This window comes from Homo sapiens, chromosome 5, assembly GCF_000001405.40.
Source record: "Homo sapiens chromosome 5, GRCh38.p14 Primary Assembly".
Lineage (NCBI taxonomy): Eukaryota > Metazoa > Chordata > Mammalia > Primates > Hominidae > Homo > Homo sapiens.
In genome coordinates this window covers 175,996,400-176,020,874 of record NC_000005.10, presented here as the reverse complement: position 1 = coordinate 176,020,874, position 24,475 = coordinate 175,996,400, and the positions used below count along the sequence as shown (strand labels likewise).

At 44.0% G+C, this 24,475-nt stretch overlaps 1 long non-coding RNA gene and 1 pseudogene across 1 annotated transcript in view, besides 1 other annotated feature; one reads left to right on the top strand and one right to left on the bottom strand.

Moving 5' to 3' along the window:
* The window catches only part of LOC124900194 (uncharacterized), a 29,722-nt gene extending 15,595 nt beyond the window's left edge, over positions 1–14,127 (top strand). Inside the window, exon 4 of the long non-coding RNA XR_007059067.1 lies at positions 13,734–14,127. This is a non-coding gene — a long non-coding RNA (uncharacterized LOC124900194). The remainder of the gene's footprint in view (positions 1–13,733) is intronic.
* Positions 10,125–10,625: an enhancer, noted in NCBI's record as "H3K4me1 hESC enhancer chr5:175437253-175437753 (GRCh37/hg19 assembly coordinates)". NCBI's record gives its function as "activates a minimal SCP1, AML or CMV promoter by ChIP-STARR-seq in naive H9 embryonic stem cells {active_cell/tissue: H9 hESC(naive)}" and the evidence as "EXISTENCE:reporter gene assay evidence [ECO:0000049][PMID:30033119]".
* OR1X1P (olfactory receptor family 1 subfamily X member 1 pseudogene) lies at positions 13,486–14,730 on the bottom strand (annotated as a pseudogene).

Below are 24,475 nucleotides of genomic sequence, written 5' to 3'. Positions count from 1 at the left end.
GATCAAGAAGGATCCTGTGAAAGGTAAACTGTAAACATTCCTTTTATGAGCAACATGCTTGGTGCCCTGTGAGGGCAGGGTTATTGTTTGTAGCCACTCTCCAGAAAGAGATGCCTCAAGACCACATTAGAAAGAAATTACAACACAGGAAGAGAGAGGGCAAGTTCTCTGGAGTCTCTTTTTATAAGGATGCTAATCCCATTGCAAGGGCCCCATCTTCATGACCTCCTTTAACCCTAATTATCTCCCAAAAGCCCTGTCTCCAAAACCATCACAGTGGAAGTTGGGGCTTCAAGATATGAACTTAGGAGGGGACACAAACATTCTGTCCATAGCAGTAGGTGATGTTTAACTCTATTCCAAACTGCTATAGTTTTCCAAGGTGGTTGTATCACTGTACACCCCCAAGAGCAGTGTATAAGAGTTCTGACCGCTCATATACTCACCAGCACTTGCTAGTGGCATCTTTTTCATTTTAGCCTGACTATATAGTGGTATCTCATTGTAGTTTTAATTTGCATTTCCCGGAAGACAGATGACGTTGAGCACCTTTTCATGTGTTTATGGGCCATTTGTATATATTCCTTTGCAAAATGTCTGCTCAAGTCTCTTGCAAATTAACATCTCAGTCTTAGAAGTCTCTGTGAAACATGCTTATTTGGTAGGAAAGGATACAAGCAGGTCTGAAGACAGTCGAGAATTGCAGTGATGCTGGATGTCCCCAAGTAGACAGAGCAATTTCTTATTCTCCCAGCTGTAAATTAAATTTCATTAAACCTCTAATTGCCGTATAAACTTAAACTGTCCCTTAGCCGCTTGTTCAAGTTAACTCAACGTAGCCTCTCTTAACTTTCTCCTGGCAAATTTACTTTTCCCAAATGAGGGTTCTGCTGGTGGGAAAGGCCCCTGAAAGGCCCAGCTGAATTTTATCAAACTCAGTTCAGTTATTTCATGTTGGTTAAGAACTTTCATCTCAAGTAATTTACCGGAGGAGAGGCTCTGCATTCTGCTGATATGTTTCTCAATGTTTAGCTGTGGACCTGAGCTGGGGCACAGCCTTGTGCCTTCAGATGGTCCCAGTTGGGAGCAAATTGCTCTACCACCCGTAAGACCTCAGTGTGTCACGTTCCGCTTCATCCCACGGTTCCGATTCTGCAATCATCTTTTACACTTTTCTTATATGACATTTAACAGAAATTGTCTAATAATATAACAAATAAGGACCTGAACCTGTAATCATATTACAGGTTCAGCATATCATTATACCCATGCCAGTTAGTAACACTAATTGAAATCCAAATCTAATCTTCTTGAAGAAGACTAAAGCTATTAGGTTTGAGCAACACGTTTGTAATCGAGCCAGTTCTAACAAGTGGTCCACACTTACTCTATTCTCATTCATGTTATTATTGACATTATCTTAATACTTTCCATTTCTTGGTTTGGCAATACATCAGTCTGAGAAATATGACTTAGTGGTGCAAATAACACGGACTTATGCTGGTCTTAGTCACCTCCAGTGAAGAATCCTATGGGTGGCAACATTTCAATCTTCGCTGCCTGTTTGAGACGATATGATTCTTTTTTCTTCTGAGACGGAGTCTCACTCTGTTGCCCAGGCTGGAGTGCAGTGGTGCCATCTCGGCTCACTGCAACCTCTGCCTCCTGGGTTCAAGCAATTCTCCTGCCTCAGCCTCCCTAGTAGCTGGGACTATAGGTGCGTGCCACCATGCCCAGCTAATTTTTTGTATTTTTAGTAGAGATGGGGTTTCACCGTTTTAGCCAGGATGGTCTCAACCTCCTGACCCCATGATCTGCCCACCGTGGCCTCCCAAAGTGCTGGGATTACAGGTGTGAGCCACCACGCCCAGCCCAATATAATATATTTTAAGCAGGACAAATTCATAAGAGTCTTAAGAGCTCCTTTCATTAACAAACACCAAGTAGCAATAGCTTGTTTAGCAAAGACCAAGTAGCAGCAAATTGTGTTATGTTAATGTCTTGCTACCACAGAATATTCTCTGCAAATATTTCAAGTTAACCTTTAAAGTTTTCCCCTGCAGCTGAATGCCTAAAGCAGCACATTCACAAAGCGCATGATTCTGTGTTGGAGGAACAGAGCCAGGGTGTTCCCAAGGCTTCCAGACACCAGGCAGCTATGACCCACACAGAAGGACAAATCTGAGCAACAATCTTTAAGTTGAGGTAAACGTTTTCTGTCCCAAGAAGGAGAGGTTAATAAATATGGTTAATAAACATACCCATGGGTCTTAACATGAAGAGCTTAGATGATGGATTAGAGCTTCAAAGATTAGATAGGTGTAACTTTTGGGTGATCATCCTCCTGACCAAGTGTTCAGAAATATCTTCTGGCTCAGCAGCCACAGCTTCACCTATTACATTGCCTCACACTATCACATTGCTTCAATGATGTTTGGATTAAATGCAGGGAGCACAGCATGTGAGATTGTCTGTGTCAGACATTGTCCATCAGTGAGAGTAGTCTTTTAAGAAGCACATACAGGCTGGGCTTGTGGATCACACCTGTAATCCCAGCACTTTGAGGGGCTGAAGAGGGAGGATCACTTGAGCCTAGGAGCTCGGGACCAGCCTGGGCAACATAGTGAGAACCTGTCTCTTAAAAGAACAAAAAACAAAAAAAAACCACACACACCCCCCTAAAAATTAGCTGGATGTGGTGGGGGTGGTGTGTGTCTGTAGTCCCAGCTATGCAGGAGGCTGAGGTGGGAGGATTGCTTGAGTCCAGCCGTTGGAGGCTGCAGTGAGCCATGATTGTGCCACTATACTCCAGCCTGGGTGATGGAGAGAGACCCTGATTCCAAAAAAGGAAAATCTAAATTAAAAAACAAACAAAAAAAAGCAGCTAAGCGCAGTGTCTTACACCGGTAATCCCAGCACTTTGGGAGGCCGAGGTGGGTGGATCACCTGAGGTCAGAAGTTTGAGACCAGCCTGGTCGACATGGTGAAACCCTGCCTACACTAAAAATACAAAAATTAGCCAGGTGTGGTGGCACACACCTGTAATGCCAGCTACTCGGGAGGCTGAGGCAGGAGAATCGCTTGAACCTAGTAGGCGGAGGTTGCAGTGAGCCAAGATCCCTCCACTGTGCTCCAGCCTAGGTGACAGGGTGAGACTCTGTCTCAAGAACAAAAACAAAAAAAGCACGCACAGGTATTCAGCAGCTGTTTCTTCTGATGTGTCAAGTGACAGCTCAGGTAAGAAGAACTCACGCTGGCTTTGAAGCCCTAAGCCCTACCAGACCCACTATCTTATAGTAACCTATGAATATAGTGAGTGTGGTTTTCAGTGTTCCTGCAAGGGGCTTGCCAAGTTCAGATACAGTTTACCAACCAGGAGTCAGGCTTGTCATAAGCAGTGTTGCCTAGTAGTGAAACTGATGAGTGTTTCTAGCAGGTTACCAAGGCAATCAGAACTATAAATAAGTTGCTTTAGGAACATAGTTGACGTGCTTTCTTGGTAGGTAGGGGAACTGCGGTAGTAAGCTAACCCAAGGTCAAATTGTTTTACAGAGATGGATAAAGGATTTTGTTAACTCATTTCCTATCCCTATCATCTATCCCCTTGATCTTTGGTTAATTTTTTTTTAATTAAACTTTGATTTTTGAGATAATTGTTGGTTCACATGCTGGTATAATAAATAATCAAAGACATCCTATGTATGCTTCACCCAGCTTCTGCAATGGCAACATCTTGCAAAACTATAGTGTAATAACACACTGCTTATTTTTTTAAATATAGAAAAGAATATAAGTTAATATACTCATGATCACCAGGATTTGAATTATAAAATGGGCCATTAACATCCCACTTATTCCTTAAATAATTAGGTCGTTGTGGCCAGGTGCAGTGCCTCAGGTCTGTAATCCCAGCACTTTGGGAGGCCGAGGCGGGAGGATTACTTGAGGCCAGGAGTTAGAGACCAGCCTGGCTAACATGGTAAAACCCTGTCTCTACTAAAAATACAAAAATTAGCCAGGCATGGTGATGTGCACCTGTAATCCCAGCTACTCAGTAGGCTGAGGCAGGAGAATCACTTGAACCTGGGAGGCGGAGGTTGCAGTGAGCCGAGATTGCGCCACTGTACTCCGTACTCTAGCCTGCCTGGGCAACAGAGCGAGAGTCCACCTCAAAAATTTAAAAAGAATTAAAAAAAAAATTAGCCAGGTGTGGTGGCGCATGCGTGTAGTCCCAGCTACTCGCGAGGCTGAGGCAGGAGAATCACTTGAGCTCAAAGGCAGAGGTTGCAGTGAGCTGAGATCACATCACTCATTCCAGTCTGGGTGACAGAGGGGGACTCTGTTTCAAAAGAAAAAAAAGAAAGGTCATTGTTTGGGTCAAAATAATTTCATAGTATCCATAGTATTTTTGTAAGCAGTGTTATCTAATAGTATGACAGTGCTTAACATGCAAAGTGTAGTATTAATTGACAGAAATAACATATCAAACCAGAGTATAGTATCACTTGTTTTCTAAAAATAAATGCTATTGTGTACACTTGAGGATTACAACATATTATGGGATACATATAGCTAGTACAGCAGTTACTGTAATGAAGCTGATTAACATATCTATCATCTCACGTAGTTACTTTTTTGTGACGAGCAGCTAGAATCTATCGAACACAAATCCCTAGTACATTACAATCGTATTAACCTTAGCCCTCATGTTGTACATTAGATGTCTAGACTCGTTCATCCCACATATCTGCTATTTTGTGTCCTTTGACTCACATCTCCCCATTTCCTCGATCACTTTCATACTTCAGCAAGTGTTTCTTTTAGGTATCTCAAAATTAACATGTTTTTAAAATAGGATATTTTGTCTTATCTCCCAAATCAGTTTTACCCATATTTAAAAAAATAGATTGTATTTTTTAGAGCTGTTTTTAGGTTTACAGGAAAATGGAGCCAGAAGTACAGAGAGTTCTCATAGCCCCTTGTCCCACACACTCACAGCCTACCTGTTAACATCCTGCAAGATTAGTACATTTGAGTGGCCAGGTGCTGTGACTAATGCCTGTAATCCCAGCACTCTGGGATGCTGAAGGCGGGAGGCTCACTTGAGCCTAGGAATTGGAAACCAGCCTGGGCAAAATGGCGAGACCGCATGTGCTTGTAGTCCCAGGTACTCAGGAGGCTGCAGTGGGAGGATTGCTTGAGCCTCGGAGATCAAAGCTTCGAGAGCAGTGATCAAATCACTGTACTGCAGGCTGGGTGACAGAGCAAGACCCAGGAAAAATAAAAAGAGAGAGGGAGAAAAGAAATAAAGAGAAAGAAAGAGAAGGAAAGGGAAGGAAAAGAAAGAAAGAAAAAGAGAAAGGAAGGAAGGAAAAAGAGAAAGAAAAAGAAGGAGAAAAGAGGGAGGAAGGATAGGGAAGGAAGGAAGGGAGGAAGAAAAAGAAATAAAGAGGTACATTTGTTGCAACTGAATAACCAACACTGACATGTCAGTATCACCCAAAGTCCTGTTGACATTAGGACAGGACTTGGTGTTGGCTTACTTTTTTTTGTTTGTTTTTGTTTTTGTTTTTCTGAGACAGAGTCTCGCTCTGTCACCAGGCTGGAGTGCAGGGGCACGATCTCGGCTCACTGCAAGCTCTGCTTCCCAGGTTCAAGCGATTCTCCTGCTTCGGCCTCCCTAGTAGCTGGGACTGCAGGCACGCGCCACCACATCCAGATAATTTTTGTATTTTTTTAGCAGAAACAGGGTTTCACCATGTTGGCTGGGATGGTCTCGATCTCCTGACCTTGTGATGCGCCTGCCTCGGCCTCCCAAAGTGCTAGAATAATTACAGGCGTGAGCCACCACGCCCGCTGTTGGCTTACTTTTAAAAAAAAATCTCAGTTAATGACAACTCTGTCCTTTCAGCTACTCGGGTCAGAAATTTGAGATTCTCTTTGGTCTCACTCTTTTCTCACACTCCATGTTGATCCAGTAATAAAGTAGGATGTTTCCAGATCTGGAAGCACAACTCTCCCCAGTCCGAAAAGAACGAAGTTATGTTCACATCTCGCTGGTTCATATTGTTAAAATACCCAGTCAATATTTTTATAGTCTCTCAAAAGCCTATTTTAATTACTACTTCAGGAAAGCTTTTCTTTTTTTAGTTTGCATCAGCACCATTTTTCCTTACATGGCAGCACAGATCATTGGTTATATTCCAGCCAACTTCGCCAGACTTCTTGCTGGGCTGTTCAGGTTACCGCCATCCACAGAAGCTCAGGCACCTTTGCCACGTTCCCACCCGTGGTGCCAGGGTCACATCACACTGAGCAGCTGTTTGAGTCAGGCCATTCTGCCGTCCACCCAGCACTGTGTGCAGCTGGCAGACATCTGCTCTTTCTCTCTTGCATGCCCTGCATGGAGAGTTCTTGGGTGCTTCTCCTAGTGGATTGGAGGTTAGAGAGGACCCGGCCATTTCATATATAGCACACCACACAATGGTGTCCTAGGCCTCCTGCCCTTCTTCCTCTTCGTCCGCATGCCTGGTCCTTTGGGCTTGCACATTGCAGGGTGGGAATGATGGGGGTGAGATGTAGTTGCCAGGTGCCACTCTCCGAGGCTTTCACATGGGGATGAGCCCAAGCGTGACCAGAACCACCTTGTGGTTGCCCCCCATCCTTTTCTTTTTTTTTTTTTTTGAAATGGAGTCTTGCTCTGTCACCCAAGTTGGAGTACAGTGGTGTGATCTTGTCTCACTGCAACCTTCGCCTCCCAAGCTCAAGCAATTCTCCCACCTCAGCCTCCCGGGTAACTGGGATTACAGGTGCCCACCACAACGCCTGGCTAATTTTTATATTTTTAGTAGAGACGGGGTTTCGCCATGTTGGCCAGGCTGGTCTCCAACTCCTGACCTCAGGTGATCCACCCGCCTCGGCCTCCCAAAGTGCTGGGACTAGCACCTTGCCCAGCCCATGATATAGCCTTTACACTGTACTAATGAGGCAATAATTCTTTGTCCTCTTATCATCAAAGATTGCATGATTTCCACCTCTGGTCACTATCTGATCTCACCCACTAATCGGATGAACTGTGGGATCAGTTTGGAGCTCAGCTTGCTACTCCATGGATCCCAGAATATAATATCAAAATAATATCAATTCCAGGCTGGGTGCGGTGGCTCACTCCTGTAATCCCAGCACTTTGGGAGGCCAAGGAGGGTGGATTACCTAAGGTCAGGAGTTCAAGACCAGCCTGCCCAGCATGGTGAAACCCCATCTCTACTAAAAAAATTACAGAAATTAGCTGGGCTTGGTGGCACACACCTGTAATCCCAGCTACTTGGGAGGCTGATGCAGAAGAATTGCTTGAACCTGGAAGGTGGAGGTTGCAGTGAGCTGAGATCATGCCACTGCACTCCAGCCTGGGCGACAGCATGAGACTCCATCTCAAAAAAAAAAAAAAAAAAAACAAATCAATGCCAAATATTTCTACAAATGTGGGTTAGTTGACAGCAAAGGGTTTCAGCCTGTCTAAAGAGAGTCAGGAGTTTGCTGATGCTGGAGGCCCCAATTAGAGCTGTGGCTTTCTGTTTCCCTAGCCATCAATTCAACTTCATTGAACCTCATGACAGTCTATGAACTTAAACTGCCTTTTGGGCAGATTTACTTATAGTTAACTTCCCTTAGCTTTTTCTTGACAAATTTATTTGTCTTTTCTGGGCATCACAGATGAGAAGCACTCTGAAATGCCTGTTTGGATTGTATACATTAGCAGGTGCATGTGCACTGTTACTGAATATTTCATGTTGTTTATGAACTTTTACTAGCAATCATTCACTGTGAGCAGGCGCTATGTATGTCCAGTGTTGGCATAGCTTCATGTCCTTCAGGGACCTGAATCACAGCTAGTCTGCCCTGACCCAAATCACAAGGAGTCCTTTGCCCATTTTTATTACATTGTTTGTCTTAAATATTTGTGTGACTTGTTTATATATTCTAGGTAAAAATCCTCCCAGAATACATTATATAAACAATTTTTATATTATATATATTATTCATATATATATATATATATATATATATATATATATATATATACTCGTATTCATTCTCCTGGTCTGTGGCTTGCTTTTGCCTTTTCATTTTCTTAAGGATATCTTTTTTTTTTTTTTTTTAATTTCCAGACGAAGTCTCACTCTTGTCCCCCAGGACAAGAGTGCAATGGCGCGATCTCGGCTCACTGCAACCCTGCAACCTCCGCCTCCCGGGTTCAAGCAATTCTCCTGCCTCGGCCTCCTGAGTAGCTGGAATTAGAGGCACCTGCCACCACGCCCGGCTAATTTCTGTATTTTAAGTAGAGACAGGGTTTCACCATGTTGGCCAGGCTGGTCTTGAACTCCTGACCTCAGGTGATTCACCCATCTTGGCCTCCCAAAGTGCTGGGATTACAGGTGTGAGCCACCATGCCAGGCCAAGGATATCTTTTGGTGAAAAGAAAATTTTAATTTTGATAGAGTCCAATTTATCACTTTGTTCTTTGATAGTTAGAAGTTATGTGTCCTATTTAGGAAACCTTTACACCCACTAAGGTTGTAAAGATTTTCTCCTTTCTTTTCTTCTAGAACCTTTACAGTTTTGCCCCTTACATGTGATCCATTTTGAGGTAATGTTCATGTATGACATGAGGTAGGGATTGAAGTTTACTTTTTCCGCATGTGGAAATCCAGTTGTTCCAGCACCATTTTTTGCAATGACTGCCCTTTTCCTCAATTAATTGCATTGAGGTCTTTGTCAAAAATAAATTATCTAGGCCGGGCGTGGTGGCTCATGCCTGTAATCCCAGCACTTTGGGAGGCCAAGGCCGGTGGATGACTTGAGGTCAGGAGTTTGAGACCAGCATGGCCAACATGGTGAAACCCCATCTCCTCTAAAATATATGTGTGTGTGTATATATATACACACACACACACAAATTAGCTGGGCGTGATGGCGTGTGCCTGTAGTTTCAGCTACTTGGGAGGCCAAGGCAGGAGAATCACTTGAAGCCAGGAGGCAGAGGTTGCAGTGAGCTGAGATCACGCTATTGCACTCCAGCTTGGGCAACAAAGTGAGATTCTGTCTCAAAAAAATAAAAATTAATTGGATGTCCACTTCTGGCTAGAATGGAGTAACAGTGAACTTATCTTCTGGCTGAAAATGGACAAAATGTATGAGTTGATGGTTTTAGGACACTGGGCATCAAACTGTAAAGGACAGTAATTCCTGAGAAAAAGGAAAGAAACGAAGTGAGCCCTCCACTTGCATCAACTGATGAGAGTCCCTTAAATGCCTGGCTCCAAAAAGGCGACAAAAAGGGGCTTTATCTCTTTAAGGGTTTGGAGAAGCTACTGTAGCGAAGTGGGATGAAACCAAGGCTGATGTCTGCTTTGGTCCCTCAGAATACTATTCAGATCACCCAGTACGTATTATACAATCCCCAGATTTGCAAGACAAGGTCCTGGCTTTCTGATCTGGCAGCAGCCTGACCCTCCAGTGGGGCTGAGAAATGGTGGGAGGAGGGGTGGTAGCTGATTATGCATGCTGCTCTCGTACCAAAGCGCAGTAGCCTCCCCCTTCGTGAAGCACTCCACTGGTTGTTCTAAGGGTCCAATCAGGTTCCAGGATTCCAAAATCATTGATTCCATTTGCTCTTTCAAGGTCAGTCATTGCTTTGGTGGGGGTGCTGACCCTGGAGCTCCCTACTCTGCCCTTTTGCATGATATCCCTCTCTCCATTCTGGCTTGCCCTGTAGAACTACTTCCTCAAGCCTACCACCAACGTGCTGCTCCATCGTCTATCACCGCTGGGCCTTCCTCCTCAGTCAGGCAAACTGGAAGGAACATGTAAGTGACAGGCTTCTGTGTACTACCCTCAGTATTTTTGTAGTTTTTAAATAAATGAAACTGCTTTTTTTCTGATTATAAGAGAAAAAACACTCCCTTAAAATATTTGGATGCACAAACTTTATATGAAAATTACCCTTCGCTAAGAGATACTCATCCTTAAGATTTTATATATAACTATTAACATTTTTCTGTGCATGATTATGTGTACAGAGTCGTTTATTTTGTCCTTTTACTTGCTTTTTTAAAAAACTGAGTGTATCTTTGACATCTTTCCATGTTAGTAAGTATAGATTGTCATGATTTTTAAGAACAAAATAATAATTTATTTAACACTTCCCAAACCAATGGACATCTAAATCTTTTCTTTTTATTATTATCAATATCGTATAATGAACATCGTAACAACTTGTTATGTTTCTTTAATGATAAACTCCTAAAATATGATTTGTTGAGCCAGGTTTTTTTGGCTTTGGTAAAAATTGCTACATTTTCTTTCAGAAAGTTTGTCCCAGTTTACTCTCCCATTGAAAGTGGTGAGGTCCCTTATCCCCCTGGCAGGACATGCAGCAGGAGTATGGCTGCTCCAGCCCGTAGGGGGAGCATGCAGACGGGCAGATGCAGAGGCTGTGGGGAGTGCTTTTGGGCTCCGGCCCCATGGCGGTGCCTAGGGTGGGGTGTCTACGACTCCTGAAGCCCACGTGGACATGTGTTACAGTGTGTTCTTTCAGCTTTGCCATCTGCAGACGGCTTGTGTTAATCAGCTCAATAAACCCTCCGCCTTTTTGCAAGGGCAGGGGGCCAGTGTGACAGCCTGAGTTCTTGCCCAGTGTACCAGAAAAATCAGATCACACGTGGGCTGAAAGGATGAGTGCACGGTTTTACTGTGTGGCGGAGGTGGCTCTCAGTGCGATGGATGGGGAGCTGGACGTGGGGATGGAGTGAGAAGGTGGTCTTCCCCTAGAGTCAGCCCGACCATCCGCGGCTGAACTCCCCTCAGTGTCTAGACGTCCTCTTCTCCCTTTCTCTGCTGTGTCATTCCACCATTGCTGGTCTGCTGGTGTTTGCTGGTCTGTTCCTCTGCTCCTCTTGACATTCAGCCACTTCTGTCTGTACCCCCTAAGGTCTTGGGTTTATATGGGCACAGGATGGGGGGCATGGAGGGCCAAAAGGCAACTTTTTGGGCATGAAAACAGAAATGCCTGTCCTCACTTAGGGCTGCAGGTCTTCAGGCTGGAGGGTGGGGCCTTTGCCAGGGAGCCACCCTCTTCTACCCAGTATTTCCCTGTCTCCTGTTTGTATCACCATCAATCACAGTTTGATTAACCTTTGATTCACACCTTAAGTGCCTGCTTCACCACTCCAAGCATACTGGATATTCTCAATTATAAAACTATCACATCAGGGCTGGGTGAGGTGGCTCACGCCTGTAATCCCAGCACTTTGGGAGGCCGAGGTGGGCAGATCACTTGAAGTCAGGAGTTCGAGACCAGCCTGGCTAACATGGTGAAACTCTGTCTCTACCAAAAATACAAAAACAAACAAACAATCACATCGGGATAAACATGTTCCCTGGGTTTGTTTTAATCAGGTATGGTAAGACACACAGACACAGAAATGACTGCCTTGAAGGAAGAAGTTTTTATATCACAGATTGCTAGAAACAGGAGGCACAGCATGCCACGGTGGGCCACATAGGAAGTACTAGCGTTGGTCAGGAGGTAGAGGAAGCAAGAAGAAAACATGAGGAAGATCCTTTGTTATGGTTTCTGCAGTTAGGAATGGGAGAGGCAGGCTACACAGGTTTAGGATTGGCTGGTTTGAGTAATTTCAGTGAGCTCTGGGCATAGGATCTGTACCTAGTGGCCTGATACCTGGACCTGGGATGATTATGGAACGGGAGTGTTGGCCCAGAGTGAGGAGCTGGGAGTGGTCTGGGTTCTGGAATGATGAGCTCGCATGTCAAAGGCACCACCCTGGTTGAGTTGTTTGCTATCTCTAGGAATTACCTATCTCTCAGAGGCACAGTCCCTCTCCCATTATAGAGGTCCTCAATGTCAAAACATCAGACTAAGAAAGCATAGCAATTAAAAAGTCTCTTGCAGCTGATTTTTTACAAATTGTATTGATTTAGCCCTTGATATTGGACCTAGAAATATATGTTCCACAAAGCCTTGTGAAATATTTGCTATTTTACTATATGCTTCATTGTCTCCTTTATTACATTTGGGGTATTTTGGTGCTTTATTTTAAGAGCAGTTTATATCAATAGTACAATGTGCAAAATTTTAACAGTATAAATTTTCCCCCATATTAAGTTCCCACAGAGGGGCTGGGCGCGGTGGCTCATGCCTATAATCCCAGCACTTTGGGAGGCCAAGGCAGGCAGATTATCTGAGATCAGGAGTTTGCAACCAGCCTGGCCAACATGGTGAAACCTGGTCTCTACTAAAAGCACAAAAATTAGCCAGGCATGGTGGCGTGCACCTGTAATCCCAGCTACTTGGGAGGCTGAGGCAGGAGAATCACTTGAACCCATGAGGCAGAGGTTGCGGTGAGCCAAGATTGTGCCACTGCACTCCAGCCTGGGCAACAAGAGTGAAACTCTGTCACAAACAAACAAAACACAGAGGTTCCCACAGAGGAAAAACAAATCTCAAATAAAATCTACTCCTCCTTAAAAAAATTATAGTCTCACAAAAAGTTAATGCCACTAAATCTGCCCATCACTTTTTCTCACACTGCTTGTCTCCACCAGAAGGAACCTCACTCTGATGTTTGGGAGAACTGTGGGATTTGTCTTCAGATTCTGTAGCCTCAGGAGTGTGGAAACCCGTCTGGTTTGTCTCCTAATACACAATCAGTCCAGAGGGAATCCATGTGCAAAACTCCTAAAATAACAATATGACCTCACATCTGTGAATGTGGCAAAATAAGTCAGGTATTGCATTTCTTCCCTTTGTTTGTCCATTATCCACTTCCTTCTCATCCTTTCTAAGATAATCTATATTTTATTGGAAATGGTGATGTATCTAACCCTAACAAACAAGTGAACAAACAACAGCAACATATGACAACAACCTTTCCCAGCCTGCGTGGCAGGCAGGTGGCCATTGAGATGTGAAAAGAAGATGCTGAGTGGTGATTCTGGGAAATCCCTGGAAAGTGATAAACTTCTTTTGCCCTTCCTCTCCTCATCCTTCCACTGAGACAGGACAAGATGGTGGGATCCCCAGCAGCCATTTTGGAAACACAGGGATGAAAGCCTCACTCTATGGCTGGGGGAGGAGGGATCTAGAAGGAGCCACGTTTCTGGCGTTGGACTTCCCATTCTGGAATTGTCATTATGGAAGACAAAAATAAACCCGTCTTGTTTAAATAGATGTAATTGGGATTTTCTGTTACCTGCAGCTGATTTAGATTCCCAGAGATAGGCATATCTCTTCTAATAATAGTAAAATTCTCTTCTAATTCTTCTCCCACTTTCAGTTTTTTTTTCCCTTCTCTAAAAATAGTCTAAATTGGTGTGTGGAAGGAAGTGGTGTTGAGGTGACGTCCAGAGTCGGGTTCTGTTTCCTCCCATCTTGAACCTCCCCAGACATCGGCCCAGCACTCACCAGCACCATGATGAGTGTGAGCCCCTACTGAAGAGCCTTCTCACGGCCTCCTGGACCTCCTTGTTCATCAGACTGTAGATGAAGGGGTTTAGCATAGAGGTCACCACAGTGTACATGATGGTTGCTATGGTGTCCTGGGCTGAGAAGGAGTCTGGGGGTCATATGCAGATCCCCAGGACAGTTCCATAGAACAGGGTGACCAGAGACAGGTGGGAGCTACATATGGAACATGCCTTGCGCCTTCTTGTAGGAGAGGGAATCCGGAGGATGGCTGCAGCAATGCGGATGTAGGAGACCAAGATGAGCGCACAGGGAGCCAGGAACAGGACCACGGCCCCCAGGAACACATGCTGATTGACATGTATGTGAGCAGGCAATCTTCATGAGCAGGTAGGCGTCACAGTAGAAGTGTGAAATCTGGGCGGAGGAGCAGAAGGCCAGTCTGCTCATGATGACCGTGTGGACCAGGGAGATGAGGCTGGAGCCTGCTCACGCTAGCACGGCCAGCCCCTGACAGAGCCGGGGGTGATGATGGAGCAGTACCGCAGGGCGCTGCAGATGGCCACATAGTGGTCCAGTGCCATGATGGCCAGCAGAAAGGTGTCCACGTTGGCAAAGGAGATGAGGAAGTACATCTGAGTCAGGCACTGGGGAGAAGAGATCGTCCATAGGCCGGGCGAGGTGGCTCACACCTGTAATCCCAGCACTTTGGGAGGCCGAGGCGGGCAGATCATGAGGTCAGGAGATGGAGACCATCCTGGCTAACATGGTGAAACCCTGTCTCTACTAAAAATACAAAAAAAAAAAAAAAAAGTTAGCCAGGCACGGTGGCAGGCACCTGTAGTCCCAGCTACTCGGGAGGCTGTGGCAGGAGAATGGCGTGAACCCGGGAGGCGGAGCTTGCAGTGAGCTGAGATCGGGCCACTGCACTCCAGCCTGGGTGACAGAGCAAGACAGTCTCAAAAAAAAAAAGAGATCATCCCTGTTCCTGCCACATGGTTGACCAGGAGCTTGGGGATCAGGTTGGTGATGAAGCAGATGTTGACAAAGGAGAGATGGGTGAAGAAGTACGTGGGGGTGTGCAGGCGAGGGTTGGAGCCGATGCCCAGGATGATGGGTGTGTTTCCAGCCTCAGTGACTAAGTGCATACACAGGAAGAGCCAGAAGAGGGCCTGCTGCTTCTCTGAGTCACTGGTGATGCTGAGCAAGAGGAACTCGCCAACTCCTGTCTCATTCTCTTTACCCCCTGGACATCCCACTACAGCTCAGGGAGGTAGCAGGCTACACAGACCACAGGGGAAAATCACTTAGCAGAGTCTGGGCTTGCTTTATGTTCAGAATCAGATTGCAGAATCAGAGGGGGAGGTTGCAGTGAGCCGAGATCTCACCACTGCACTCCAGCCTGCTGACAGAGCGAGACTCCGTCTAAAATAAATAAATAAATAAATAAATAAATAAATAAATAAATAAATAAATAAGAAAGTAAGGGTTGTTTCAGGAAGTTTATTTTTCAGGTTCATTGCAGCCCTAATTTTCAGTCTCTGGTGATAAGGGACTATTTTCTTGCCATGTCACTGGGAGGAATCTTTATGGCTGGCTGCATGCAGGGAGAGACAGGTCAGCTAACCCTTTCTGAAGCTACAATTTCTCCAATGTTTTTCATTCAAAATAATCAATATGCCGATTAAGCATATTTGGGGATAGCACGTCCTTGACTCCATTAACTACCATTATGGTTTTGGGGGAAGAACCCCAGAGAGGTGAAATATTTTTATCATACCAGAGGTACGTGATTATCAGCATGACTTATCACTGATAATGTTAACCTTCCTCACTTGTTTAGGGTAATGTTTCCCAGGCTTTTCCACCATAAAGTTTGTTTTTTCCCATATTCTATACTTTGTTCGTTGGAAGCAAGTCACTAAGTCCAGCCCATCCTCAAGTGGGAGGAGAGGATTAAGCTTCAGCTTCTGGTGGGTGGGTTTGGGGGTGGGAAAAGTGTTCACAGACATTACTTGGAATTCTTCTGTAAGGAAAATTTGTTTCTTCTCCCACACTGATTTATTTAATCATCTGTTTTCATCAGTATGGACTCGCTTATATTTATTTCATACTTTGGGTTATAATCCGATGTGAAGGTCTTCAAAAAGTTCATGGAAAGTATGTGTTAATATTATGAGAAAAACTATACACGGATCTCAAGCATTTTTTCGCATCAAAATAAACTCATACTAACATGTTATAACATGTCTGAACAGAATCTAGTTTGAGGCACTAGGAAGGATAAGACATCAGTTTGAAAAGAGCCCCTATCAGAAAAACATAAATTCTGCTAAATTTGAAACAGGGACAAACATTAAATTAGTGGAACAGAAACATCAAATTGAAGCTTGGGTGGAAGAGTGGTGAAATCATTGATGCTTTTTGAAACGTTTATGAGGACAATGCCCCAAAGAAATTAGCAGTTTACAAATGGATACATTGTTTTAAGAAGGGAGGAGATGAGATGATGTTTAAAATGAAGCTTGCAGTGGCAGACTATCTGCATCAATTTGCAAGAAAAAAATTCATCTTGGTCTTGCCTTAATAGAAGAGGACTGGCAATTAACAGCAAAAGCAATAGCCAGCACCATAGATATCTCAACTGTTTCAGCTTACACAATTCTGACTGAAAAAGTTAAGAAAACTTTCTACTCGATGAGTGCCAAAACCATTGCACCCTGATCAGCTGCAGACAAGAGCAGAGATTTCCATGGAAATTTTAGACAAGTGGGATGAAGATCCTGAAGCATTTCTTCGAAGACATGTAACCGGAGATGGAACATGGCTTCACCAGTACAATCCTGAAGACAAAGCACAATCAAAGCAATGGCCACCAAGCGGCGGAAGGGGTCTAGTCACAGCAAAAGCAGACCAGTCAAGAGCAAAGATCATGGCAACTGGTTTTTGGAGATACTCAAGGCATTTTGCTTGTTGACTTTCTGGAGGGCCAATGAACAATAACGTGCTTATTATGAGAGTGTTTTCAGAAAGTTGGCCAAAGCTTTAGCAGAAAGCTAAAAAAAAAAAAAAAAAAAAAAAGCTTTAGCCCAGGAAAGCTTAACCATAGAGTCCTTCTCCACCACGACAATGCTCCTGCTCATTCCTCTCATCAAACAAGGGCAATTTTGCAAGTTTCGCTCTTGTGCAATGGCGCACTCTTGGCTCACCACAACCTCCGACTCCCAGGTTCAAGTAATTCTTCTGCCTCAGCCTCCTGAGTAGCTGGGATTACAGACATGTGCCACCATGCTCGGCTAATTTTGTATTTGTGGTAGAGTCAGGGTTTCTCCATGTTAGTCAGGCTAGTCTTGAACTCCCGACCTCAGGTCATCCATCCACCTCAGCCTCCCACAGTGCTGGGATCACAGGCATGAGCCACTGCACCTGGCCTTGCAAATGTTTCTATTGGAAATCATTAGGCATTCACCTTACAGTTCTCATTTGGCTCCTTCTATTTTTTTTGTTTTCTAATCTTACAAAAATCTTTAAAGGGCACCCATTTTTTCTTCCATTAATAATGTAAAAAATGCTACGTTATCACAGTTGAATTCCCAGGACCCTCAGTTCTTTAGGGATGGACACTAAATGGCTGGCATCATCACTTATAAAAGTGTCTTGAACTTGATGGAGCGTCTGTTAAGAAATAAAGTTTGTATTTTTAATTTTTACCTTTCTTACTTTTTTTTTTTTTTGAGACGGAGTTTTGCTCTTGTTGTCCAGGCTGGAGTGCAATGGTGCAGTCTTGGCTCACTGCAACCTCTGCCTCCTGGGTTTAAGCCACTCTCCTGCCTCAGCCTCTCAAGTAGCTGGGATTACAGGCACGTGCCACCACGCCTGGCTAATTCTGTATTTTTAGTACAGAGGGGGTTTCTCCATGTTGATCAGGCTGGTCTCGAGCTCTTGACCTCAGGTATTCTGCCCACCTCTGCCTCCCAAAGTGTTGGGATTACAGGCGTGAGCCACTGTGCCCAGCCCTAATTTTTATCTTTCAATTGCGTTTTTTCCATGAACTTTTTAAAGCCCCTCATACTACTCTGTTTATTGCTTGAATTGTTCCAGTTTTGACCATTAGTAGCTTTTTTACATTGGCTGCTGTATCTCTTTGACATGTACCCATCCTCTGTTCTGGTTTCTGTTTCTTCATTGTTGGTTTTTTTCTTTTTTTTCTTTGAGACAGAGTCTTACTCTGTCTCCCAGGCTGGAGTGCAGTGGTGCAATCTTGGCTCACTGCAACCTCCGCCTCCCAGGTTCAAGTGATTCTCCTGCCTCAGCCTCTCAAGTAACTGGGATTACAGGCACCCATCACCACACCCAGCTAATTTTTGTATTTTTAGTAGAGATGGGGTTTCGCCATGTTGGCCACGCTGGTCTTGAACTCCTGACCTCAGGTGATCTGCCCGCCTCGGCCTCCCAGAGTGCTGGGATTACAGGCATGAGCCACTGCACCTGGCCTGTTGGTTTTTTTAGTGCTTTCTTACTTTCTTACACTACGAGATGCCCCAGGCTCATCTTACGCTTTCCCTGCCTCAGGCCTAGAATCAGCCATTTATTCAAGGAGCCCAAACCAGTAATTTTTGACCAGCAACACAATAAACATGAAGTTCAGAGCAGCTAAAAGATGACCTGATGGAAATTGGCTCAGCATACAAAAATTAGCTAGGCATGGTGGCGGGCACCTGTAACTCCAGCTACTTGGAAGGCTGAGGCACAAGAACTGCTGGAACCTGGGAGATGGAGGTTGCAGTGAGCCGAGATTGTGCCACTGCACTCCAGTCTGGCTAACTAGTAAAAAAAAATTTTTTTTTAAGATGGAGTCTTACTATGTTGCCCAGGCTGGTCTCGCACTCTTGGGCTCAAGCAGTCCTTCAACCTGGGCCTCCTAAAGTGCTGGGATTACAGACATGAGATATTGTACCCAGCCTCATTTTTTTTTGCATATGGATATCCAGTTGTTTTAGCACAATTTGTTGAAAAGATCGCTTTCTCCACTGAATTACCTTTGCACCTTTCTCAAAATTGTTTGCTTCAATAGCAGTTAGCATACCTAGTACCCAGATCTTGGTTTTTAAAACCATTCTTCAGTAAAACAATCTAGAGCTCCTTGAAGTGGCTGATTTTAGGACTGAGGCAGGAAATACACAAGATGAGCCTGGAACATCTTGTAGCACCAGAAAGTAAGGAAGTACTGAATAAGGAAAACCGTATTTGATGGGGTTACATGACAGGAGCCAACTGAAAGAGCTCCCAATGGTCAAAGCTGGAACAACTGGAGCAGCAGAATAAAGAGAGTAGTATTGGATTATAACCCAGAGTATACAGTAAATATCCATGAGTTCATACTCATGGATATTTTGGTAAAAGTTTCTTACGCAGTTGGAAAGAATGTGTATTCTGTTGTGTTGGGGTGGAGTATTCTATAAATGTCAGGTTAAGTTGTTTGATAATGCTGTTCAAGTATACTATATCCTACTCATTATCTGGAAGACAATGAAATCTCTGGAAGATTGGGAGAGGGAGATTGAAATCTTGTTATAATTATAAACGTGTCTATTCCTCTGTGCTGTTCTATTAGATTTTTCTTCATATATTTTGAAGCTCTGTTATTAGATGTGTTGAAGTCAGATAAAATAAAGAGATGAATCTCTAAATTTAAAATGTTTTATTTTGGAAGCAAGAATTGCAGTTGGGGCATACACACAGACCAGGTGGGTTTTGGTATGTCTGAAGAACAAAGAGAAGGTTAGAGGTGTTATGAAAAAGAGAAATGTTACATATTGTTTTGCAAGAAAGTACATTGTCACTGGTAAGGTTCCGGGGAGCTGGCAAGTTCTGATTGGTGAGTGATGGCGGTGGGTCAAACTAGTTTTAGAGTTGTACCAGGTTATTTTAACAGCTAATTAGATAAACTGGCTTCAGTTTACAACAGCTAGGCTTGCAGAGAATTCATTCTTGGAGCAATGTTATGTGCCCTGATTGCTTTTATTTCTCTGGCCTCTTGACTCTGTTTTAGTTGGGTATGACAAGAATAACCCAATTTGTATGATCAACTTTCACAGATGTGTAAATATGTGGGATTGTTACATTCTCTTGATTAATTGACCCCTTTATCATCATCAGATGACCTTATTTATCCCTGGTAATATTTCTTGCTCTAAAGTTTACATTGTCTGATATTACAATAGCCACTCTTTTTGATGAGTGTTAGCATGGTATATCTTTTTCCACTGTTTGATTTTGATAGGTATATTTGAAGTGCATTTATTGTAGGGAATATAAAATTGGGTCTTACTTTTTTAAATCAAATCTTAAAATCAATCTCTGCTTTTGTTTATTTATTTTGAGATGGAGTCTCATTCTGTTGTCCAGGCTGGAGTGCAATGGTGCGATCTTGGCTCACTGCAACCGCTGCCTCCCTGGTTCAAGCAATTCTGTTGCCTCAGCCTCCTGAGTAGCTGAGATTGCAGGCACCCACCACCACGCCCAGCTAATTTTTGTATTTTTTTTAGTAGAGATGGGGTTTCATCATGTTGGCCAGGCTGGTCTCGAACTCCTGACCTCAGGTGATCCGCCCTCCTCTGCCTCCCAAAGTGCTGGGATTACAGGCGTGAGCCACTAAGCCCAGCCCAATCTCTGTTTTTTAATTAGGATATTCAGACTATTTACATTTGATGTGATTATTCATATAGTTAGGATTGAGTCTACAAACCCTGCAACGTGTTGTCTATTGGCTCCATCTGTTAGTTGTTCTATGTTTTCTCTTGGTCTAACTTCCTTTGGATTAATTGAATATTTTTAATGTTTTCATTTGATCTCCTTTGTTGACTTATTAGCTATAACTATTTCTCTTGTTCTTTTAGTGGTTGCCTTAGGGTTTATTATATACTTCTTCAGCTTATCGGTCTATCTGCAAGTGATGTTATACCATCTCCTGTATAAGAACCTTACTGTGTTATATTTCTATTTCTTCTCTCTCAGACTTTAAGCTGTATCATCTTATTCATGTTACAAACACTATATGGCATTATTATTATTTTTGTTTACATTCATCTGTCTTTTGCAGTTATTATTATTATTTTTTTTTGACGTAGAGTTTCACTCTTGTCACCCAAGCTAGAGTGCAATGGTGTGATCTTGGCTCACTGCAACCTCCGCCTCCCAGATTCAAGTGACTCTCCTGTCTCAGCCTCCTGAGTAGCTGGGATTACAGACATGCCACCACGCCCAGCTAATTTTTTTTTTTTTTTCAGTAGAGACGGGGTTTCACTATGTTGGCCAGGCTGGTCTCAATCTCCTGACCTCAGGTGATCCACCTGCCTTGGCCTCCCAAAGTGCTGGGATTATAGGCATGAGCCACCGCGCCCAGCCTCTTTTACAGATTTTTAAATAAGAAAACAGTCATATATTCATCTGTGCAGTTATCGATTCTGGTGTTCTTCATTCCTTTGTATAGATGTGCATTTTCATATAGGGTCATTTTTCTTCTACCTGAAAGACTTCCTTTAACATTTCTTTTAGTGCGGGTCTGCTGGTAGTAAATTCTTTCAGCATTTCTTTTTCTGACAGTCTGTTTCACTTTGGATTTGTTTTATACTGGATTTAGAATTGTACACTGACAGTTTCTTTTTCTTTCAGTACTTTAAAGCTATTGCTCTCCTGTATATCACTTGCATGGTTTCTGATGACCAATCTGTTGTCATCCGTGTCCTTGTTTCTTTATATGCAGTGCCTTTTTTCTCTCTGGTTACTTGTGTTTTCTCACTGATTTTGCACTCTCTTATTATTAGGTGGCTTCTTTTAGTAAGGAAACTTCATTACTTGTGCTTGGGTTTCTTGATCTTCCTATATCTGTGAATTTGTAAGTTTCTATTTTTCTTTTTTTTTGAGATGGAGTCTTGCTCTGGCCCAGGCTGGAGTGCAGTGGTGCGATCTTGGCTCACCACAACCTCCACCTCCCGGGTTCAAGTGATTCTCCTGCCTCAGCCTCCTGAGTAGCTGGGACTACAGGCGCGTGCCACCATGCCTGGCTAATTTTTGTATTTCTAGTAGAGATGGGGTTTCACTATGTTGGCCAGGCTGGTCTTGAACTCCTGACCTCATGATCCGCCCGCCTTGGCCTCCCAAAGTGCTGGGATTACAGGCATGTGCCACCGCGCCCAGCTGAATTTGTATGTTTCATAAAAATCTGAACAATTACTATTTTTCTGTACCCCTTGCTCCCTCTTTCCATTTGCACATATATTAGGCTGTCTGATGCTGTCACACAGCTCACTGATAACTGTTTTTGAAAATTATTTTGTTCTCTGTTTTATTTTGGATAATATATATCGCTGTCTTCAAGTTCACTGATCTTTCCTTCTGCAATGTCTAATTTGCCATTCATCTCATCCACTGTTTTTTCACCTTAGTGATTATATTTTTCATCTTTAGAAGTATGATTTGGGTCTTTAAAAAATATCATCCATTGGAGTTAGAGCTGAAAAAAAGAAAAAATAAAAATATTATCTCTGTCTCTTCTTAACTTTTTGAACATATGGACTACAGTTATAGTAACTGTTTTTGATGTTCTTGTCTGCTAATTCTAACATCTGTGCCATTTCTGGATCAGTTTAAGGTGACTGATTTCCCCCTCATTGTGGGTCTTTTCTTGTCGTTTTGTGTGCTGTTAGTTCAACCGGATGCTAGATACTGTGGATTTTACCTTGTGTTGCTGGGTATTTTATTACTCCTATAAATATTCTTTAGCTTTGTTCTGGGATGTAGTTAAGCTGCTTAGAAGAAGCTTGATCCTTTCAGGTCTGGCTGTCAAGATTTGTTAGGTCAGAACAGAGCAACATTTTTTTTCCTAGGGCTAATTATTCCCTATCACTGAGGCAAGAGCTTTTTGCTTCTACCACCAGTGTCCCTGAATTATTAGGTTTCTAGTCCGGCTGTTAGAAACAGGTGCCCTTCTCAGCCCTCTGTGAACCCAGGTGCTGTTCTCACTAGTCCTTTCCGATCATTCCTTCTCTGATCTCTGGTAGTTTCCTGACAACGCTTGCACTGATCAGTACTCAAACAGACCCTCCACAGAAGTCTGGAGTTTTCTCCTTTCCTGCTTTCTGTTGCCTGTTACTCTGTCTTGTGAACACCCACTGCCTTGGCCTCCTCAGTTCAGGGAGCCTGCCCTCCTCCTCGTTTCCTCTCCCTATGCCTAGGCACTTGCTTGAGGTGGTGTGCCGGGCAGTCACAGGGCTGCCACAGGGATCATTAGCTTTTATTGCCTCGTGCCCACTGGCCTGAGAGCTGTTGTTTCCTGTATTTTTTCAGGATTTTGGTTGTGCCAAGTGGGAGGGTAAATCCGTTTCCTTTTACTCCATCTGCTAGAAGCAGAAGTGTCCACTGACTTTTAATATTTTTCTTTCAAACCCCACATTAGAAGAAACCCTTCCTCTGTAACAACAACCAACAGCTTGACAAAGTGTGTTCCCATTGTTCTGTCACTCCTCTGCTTTTCAAAGCAAGCCTGCAAGGTGGATGCTATATCCCCATTTTACAGATAAGGGGACAGAGCCTCAGAGAGGTTAAGAGACTTTTCCCAGGTCACACAGACCGCCATTGTAGTGGGGATATGGGCTTGATCCTGGCTCCGCCTGTACAGACTGTGTGACCTTGGTAGTTCCCGGCTGTACAGATTGTACAGACTGTGTGACCTGCTGTAGTTCCCAGCAGGGAAAACAGAGCCATATGGTGTAAGGGTTGGTATTACTGTTTTCATTTTTAATTTTTATTTTATTTTATTTTTTGGTGGGCTTTGAGAGTGATATTTCCAGGGTGACAGCGTCACTGAGCTGGGGCACCTGGGGAGAATCAGGGATCTCTGTGATTGGTCTTCTGACTGCGCCTTATTCAGAAGATAAGGCAATTTTTTTTTTTTTTGAAATGGGGGTCTCACATTGTTGCCCAGGCTGGAATGCAGTGGTGCCATCTTGGCTCACTGCCTCCTAGGTTCAAATGATTCTCATGCGTCAGCCTCCTAAGTAGCTGGGATCACAGGCGCGTGCCACCACGCCCAGCTAATTTTTTGTATATTTGGTAGAGCTGGGTTTTTGCCATGTTGGCCAGGCTGGTCTTGAACTCCTGACCTCAAGTGATCCACCCACCTTGGCCTCCCAAAGTGCTGGGATTATAGGCGTGAACCACCGCGCCTGGTCAGAGAGTGTGTCTTCTTATCTAATGCATCTGCCAGAGAATCAGGCTTCTTGCCAGAGCTGTGGAGTTGGGAGTCTGAAACCCCTGAAATCTCAGGGATAGTGGGGAGTTACTGGCACCCAGTGGTAGAGAGGACGGGGTGAGGGGAGGGAGGAGCACCAGAAGGTTAGAGGGTAGCCTGGTGGAAGCTGTGGGCAGAGCACACTGAGGTGGGGCTACACCAGCTCTCCACCGCTCTCCACCCATCTCCTGGTTTGTGATTATCCCTGCTTCTCCCACTTCTGGGTGAAAAAGGTGGGGAAATAAATTCATGAAGCCGTGAGTAGGTGAGGTGTTAGGGAGACAGCTTGCCAGGGTGGGCAGCACAGATGACTGGTGGGTGGGGAGGGAGGTGGTGGGAGGTGAATGTGCAGATCCTCAGATCTCTGAGAAACAAGGTGGAGGGGGCTAACGTGGTGTGCAGAGTGGCAGGTGGGGGCACTGGTGGCTGATACCTGAGGCACAGGTGTTTCCTGGAAAGAAGGGGATGTGGTCTTTTCCTGGCCATGGGGGAGGCTTTGAAAGGTTCTTGGAGAATTTCTTTTATAGTGAGATTATTTTCAGACTGAGTTTTTTAAAGTGTGGAATGGCACAGAATAGTGCCATTTATTAAGTGCCTACTGTATGCTCAGAACCCATTTCACATGCATCAGCCTGTTTCATTCTCACATAAGGTAGGTACTATTAATTCCATTTCACAGGTGCAGAATTTGAGGCTCAGGG